Source organism: Homo sapiens, chromosome 21 (assembly GCF_000001405.40).
Source record: "Homo sapiens chromosome 21, GRCh38.p14 Primary Assembly".
In the NCBI taxonomy this organism is placed as follows: Eukaryota; Metazoa; Chordata; class Mammalia; order Primates; family Hominidae; genus Homo; species Homo sapiens.
The window spans coordinates 35,575,363-35,581,774 of NC_000021.9; the positions used below are offsets into that span (position 1 = coordinate 35,575,363).

At 41.0% G+C, this 6,412-nt stretch overlaps 1 long non-coding RNA gene across 1 annotated transcript in view; it reads right to left on the reverse strand.

The window, feature by feature from the left end:
* The window catches only part of LOC100506403 (uncharacterized), a 208,258-nt gene extending 202,856 nt beyond the window's left edge, over positions 1–5,402 (reverse strand). The window contains exon 1 of the long non-coding RNA NR_073512.1: positions 5,298–5,402. This is a non-coding gene — a long non-coding RNA (uncharacterized LOC100506403). The remainder of the gene's footprint in view (positions 1–5,297) is intronic.

Here is a 6,412-nt window from a genome sequence, read left to right on the forward strand (position 1 = left end):
CTTCAGATCAAGTTTCCATAAGACCACAACAGAAAGCCTGGTTCAGACTCCACAGTGACATCATTCCGGCCTCTATTCCAACATGCAGGGAAGATGCCATCCATCATTCAAGCATGAGTAACCAATTCCATAGAGGAGGCAAGTTCAGTGTTTCTGTTTGGTTAAAGCCACGGCCATCTCAACAGCCATGGCCCAAACATTTTTAAACAAAGTAGGGAAGGAGGAAAAGAAATCAGAGGAGAAATAGTAATGGGATTCAGGATGCTGCACAATGGGCTTTGGACAGGCCAGGTCAGATGTGGGGTGGAGGTAAGAGGAGAGCCTCAAACCTCTTCAACAGCCACAGAAGCTAAAGAAAGCACAGGAAGACCTATCCTTCAGCCCCCTCCCTAGGGATTTCCACTGGTGGTGAGTAAACAGCTCAATTACAAGATGTAATTATGAGTTCACTGTTCAGGAGACACCTAGAATTCTTTCCAGAAAGGCAACTCCGCCAAGATTTTACCCCCATGTTATTACCACCATCATACTAAGCTATCCACATTTGCATTTGACCCACAGGCTCCCTGTATTCTGTGTGTGTTCAATTCCTGCATGTTCTGCAGAGGCCATCTAAAACTAGGTTTTATTCACTTCCCACCTTGCAGCATTTGGTTTAAGGAACTTCAGCTTTCTTGTAGTTTCATCACAAATCTTCGTGGTTTAGATCCTAGGAAAATCTCCCTTCAGCACTAAGATCAAATAGGTAGAAGCTGTCGACATGCAGTAAAGCGGCATTGAGAGGAAGCCAAGGTGGTGTGAAGGAGTTCCTGGTAAGTCCACAGTGTATGTACATCATAGCCTTACTTCTCAGAAAATGACAATAAGGCAAATAATTGACACTATTTGAGAAGCAAAGTTAACCAAGACACGGGAGTTGGAAAGGCGCCTGCACGGATACTGCTGGCCCCCCACAATAATTCCATATTTGACGGGCACACGGCAGTCCAGAAAACAAGCACATTTTCTTCTTTGCAGCTGGGTGGCTGATTTGCAAATGGGCCTTTATATCTCCAAATAATGAAATAAACATGTGTTTGGATTTTAAGGTGATGCCATACTGTTATAAAACATTCTAAGTGCTTGACTCTCAATTTCTGAGCTTATCTTGGAGCAGATGGTCCCATAGAATGTGAAGGGAAGAAATGTATAAAACTTACAAGTCATGCCCCAAAAGGGGAGCCCATGTTCTTCTCCCTTGCTCCATGTTCTCCCTTGCTCCTTCACACTCCCCTTCTTGTTGACTAGAAAGCAGCTTGGCCATGAGCCACTGTGGACCACGCAAGTGTGACCAACATGCTAGGATGATGGACAAACAAGACAGAAGGATCTTGGGCTCCACTGACTTCACTGAGCAAATCTGCCATACCAGCTTGACCTTTTGCACTTCTATCTGGTTTGGGAGACTGTTACACTGGTCACAAGGGCAAACCTATATTCTTAGCAATATGTGAACTCTGGATCAAACTATTTCAGGGGGTATCTGTACAGACATGGATGTCTGAGCATACACACCAGCACTAAAAGTATATCAAAGTCCAAACTGACTCTATGTCTCAACATTTGGGCAACACACTTTTGAAATCCTGATTGGTTTGGTACCTTAGTAAAAACAGAGTGAGAAATTGACTGTCTTTCTCTCAATGTGGGGACAGGCCAATGTCTGCCCTGAGCTCTGCCAGCCATTTCACAAAGATACACCTCAGTCATAAAAACATATGTGATTATATGTATCCTAGAAAACAATGTTCAGTAATAAAGTGGCATAAAGGAGCATATGTTTTTTAGGGATTTAGAAGGAATTTCATAATAATGCTTATATAAAATAGTGAAGCAAATTTAGAGAAAACAGCACCTTTGCAAATGTTTCCACCACTGGCACACTGACCATTGACAAGATTCAAAAATGTGTTAGATTCAGACTGGACAAACATTGAAGTTAATTTAAAAGCATTTTTTGTTTTTGGTATTTCAAAACAGTGAGCTGTTTTAAAAAAAGTCTTTAAAAAAGAACCCTATTACATCGACAATTTAATAAGCTCATTCGTTTACAACTGGTTTTTTTTTTAATCCCCAATGTGTTTTTTTTAAGTGATATCTCATTTATTTTAAGCCTGGAAGAGAGTTTTCTCTGCATTTGAGCAGTCCAGGATGGAGCTACTAAAAGAAAGGTCTGTGAACAGTGAGATCCAGGAACTATTTGTAACCAGTCTGCATCAATATAAGCACAGACACTGGAAGTTCAGTGCTTAGAAAGTTTTACAGCAATATAATATCACCATGACATCCAAATGCATGACTGACTTTCTAATCATTAGTTTTCATCGTATTTTACCAAAGCATCAGTTCTCAACAGATTTGAATTTTTTTTAAATGGCCCTTCACCAAGATAGCAATGGTCTAGTAACCAACTTGCAGATATAAAGACCCATTTACAAATTTGCCTGCAGCTTTCTATGCCTCCAATCACACACAATTGACATCAAAACTTCTTACATACACAAGCACATTGCACGAGCTAGTGCCCACAACAAAAACAAAGCGAGAACTTATTCACATCTTATTGCCACCTGACCATACAGCAAGACTGTTTCAACAGACACATTTGCAAATCATAGTTTTATAATAACATAAGAATTGGGCAGTAATTATTTTTATAAGAGAAAACAACTTGTATTTGTGTGTGTGCATGAGTATGAGTATGTGTCTCCATCATACAAACAATAATTGCCCCCATGTCTTCTCCATTTTGTCTTCAATTCTGGTTCTTAGGATTTTCTCCAGGTGTTAGTAGTTACACCTCTGGAAAGGGTCTTTTGTTAATACCAAAAGCATTTTGACTTATTTCTTTGGGAAAAAAAAAAAAAACAACAGAAATGAAAGCAAGCCCTCTTTTAAACTGGAAAGCTTTATTTTGCCCCTGGAGAAAAGCAGCCTGGTTAAATGTCTGAACTTATTGTTATTATTATTTTATTGAGCAATAAACTAAAGTGTGATTGAGCCACCAGTGACTCGGATATATTGTTAAGCTTGGAATCACATGGTTGAATGACTAGCTGGCCCAGAACGTGGGCGATTCAAATGATTCAGAAGACAAATGAGGCAGGAGCAAGAATGTCTCACACCAATACAAACCCAATTAACGTCAACAAAATCCTGCAAAATTTATTGTTGCTTGGCCTCTGAAAATGGTGGAACCAACTCTTTTCCTGTGCCTGCAGGGCAAATTCATTAGATGGAAAACGGCATTTTGTTAACCATGAAGTTCAGTAACATAAACAAGTCAGTGCCATGGTCCTTGAGACACCTGCAGAGGGTCAACCGCAAAGAAGGGAAGGAAGAGAGAGATGCTGATCTTGCTCTACAATGCCCATGAGTAGTGACACAGTAGGTGTTTCATAAATAATGTCTTTTTAAAGTCACAGTCCAGGATAAAAATGATATATCTGATTGTCATTCAGTTCGTTAAATAACGATCATATATAAAAAGAGAAAGAGAGAGAAGAGAGAGGAAGGGAGGAAAAAGAGATTGATATTTTGCCTGCAAGTTCACCAAAGGCTACCATGTTGGTTTGTGCTTGTTTTTTTGTTTCAGTTTCTTAAGTAAGAGTGATTCACTTGTGCTGATTCAACTTGAACCATGTTTACATCAGATGCTCTTATGCCCACAATTGACAAATCTAAGAGTGGTCATGAAACAAAACGGACCTCACTGGCCCCAAAGTCATCGAATCTACAATTTTGACCTTTAGGCTATGTGCCCACAGAACTGGACGACACTGCTGAATTCATGTAACCCTAAGCGCTGTGAAACGCTCCATCACTGTGCTATTTGACAGCAAGGATGGCGCCACTTCTGAGATAACTCATGCCGCAGAGCTCAACAACATACCCCTTGTTCAAAGTAGAGATGATGGGCGTTGAAAGGGCCATGACACAGAGGTCTTTTGTGTGATCAGACTTACTCTGTGTGGGGTAATAGGAGTGTCGTCTGAAGAGTGGTTTGGCTGGATAAGACCACGAAAAAAAAAAAGTACCAAACAATCAAAAAGCTTAATCATGGATTATCAAGAAGACCATTTTCCCACCCACATTTGATTCTGAATTCAATCAAACCCTTAATGACTCATATGAGGATTTCAGGGTGTTCTATCAAAAATCTGCTGAAATAGACCCAAAACACAGCAAAATATTAAGGTGAAATATTATCAGTACCAGAAAAAGTATCTCCAATACTTTTTCTCAGTTTTCAGTTTCTTATGATTATGATGATGATTCATTTCTGCTGATTCAACTTGAACCATATTCATATCAGATGCTCTTATGCACACAGTTAACAAATCTAAGAGTGATCATGAAACAAAACGGAATTCAGAAAGCAGGAAAGTATCTCCAGTACTTTTTCTCTTATAAAGAACATACCATTTGTTGGGTAAGCTACTGATGCTAGATGCAGCCCACTATGGAAGCAGGAAAAGAATCTACTTAGTCACTGAATCAACACTTACCATGTGCCTGGCATGGTGCAAGGCTCATGCAGCAGAATTTATTTCTTCATGCTTTTATTTTGTTTCCATCTTTAATAGTGATCAGAGCTATGAAGAAGATCTTGGAGGGTAATGAAACAGAATCACAGAAGGGAATTTTGTTTCATTCAGAACTGGGAACAGCCTATTTGAGGGAGGGCAGTCACGTGAGATTTAAAAGATAGTGTTTGAGCTCCTGTGACTCCCAGTGTCTTTTAACTTTGTATTTTTACTGAGACCCACAAAAGAAATTCATAGGTGACTGCTGGTCCTGGATTTTTAGGGACAACCAAGATTGACATGTGATTAATTTTCTGAAGACAACTAGATTCTGGCCATGACAAGGGGCTTCTGGGATGAAAAGCTAGGACCACAGAGGGCCAGGGGGGGAAGTGGGAATGAGACCAAAAACACCAATAGAACCAAGAATCAGTGAGGACAGAGCAAGGGAGAAAGGAGGGTCAGAGAGCAGGCAACATGGCCTCCAAGAAGTTCAGGTGCAGAATGAAGGACATCGGGGGAATATCTGTCCATTAACCTGCCTGGAGCCCTCTTCGTATTCTCCTAGACACCCGAAACTATTCTGCAGCGTTTTTCTTTGCTGATTTAGACGTTACAAAAAATGTAGTTTCACTGCTGATTTTTCTCCAGACCATTTGTGCATTCTTGCTCTGAACACCCCAATCCATAATCATTGTCAGCTGAGACCAAACTAGCTGCTAAACTACTTACCAATGTATTCAGTCTCCACGGCATCGATCCCAGCAGAAATGCAAATCAGCTTTTCCAGGGCGAACCTCCCTCCTGAAGAAGTGAGTCTAGGCCAGCAACTGCCGCCTGGAGGAATCCTGAAGTGCCCCCCAGATGTGTAGGGTCTTGGTTGTCACACAGTGCATTTGACACATCACAGTCAGGGGTCCGTAATCTGCTGCCTCCAGCAGTAAGATAATGATGTTGTAGTTTCTCTTCTCTTCCTCTTGCCCACTAGAATTTACTTGGATCCTAGCGAATAAAGATGGGAGAAGGGATATCAGTCCTGCCCATCACCTGCTAGCATCTACCACCATTTTGGGATAGCTGGGCTCTACAGCTGTGTAGACGACAAGGTGCATACCAGTGCCACATAAGCCATGTTTCAGGACCAACCAATGGTCAGGGCACACAGTGTAAAGTGAGAGAGAGGAACCAAGGCTGGAGGGCTCAGGGCACATGCCCCAAAACTACAGACACTAAAGGGATTGGAGCCCTGTTAAATAAAGTGAACCCTCTTTTCCACAATTTATTTCTCTATCAGCCTTGGCAATTGTCCCCACGACAAGAAGGAGCCTAGCTGGGGCCACTCTGCAAATTCATGAGGCAGGGGAGACATCCAAGCTGGGCATATGCATGATTATTACAGGAAGAGGAAAACATCTGAGCTATTTAGCATCTCACAGTTCAAATGGGGCGATTGCTGAGACACTGGTGTGGAAGAGACAAATGGGGTGGGGAAATTTTTCTAATCTTAATAAAATCTTTTTGCTTTTTCCAGTAAGTAAAGGAGTGAGTGATGACGTGTCTGACCCTTCTTTAATATCATCAACTGGAGCGAGAAAGACCTGAAAGAAAATATTTAGAAAAAGAGTGTTCATATTATGCCTTGCCTGTGCTATGCCTTAATAAATTCTCTCATTAGCAATAAGCCAATTCTATATAAACAATGTTTTCTCAGCAGGCAACAGCAAGTTCATAAGTACTCTTAACACTCATTAAAGCTCACATGCTTCAAGAACATGCTTAGAAATATTGTGGGTTTCCTGGCTCTCGGCACATATTTCAATGGGGAATAAATGGGTGCATGGAATACA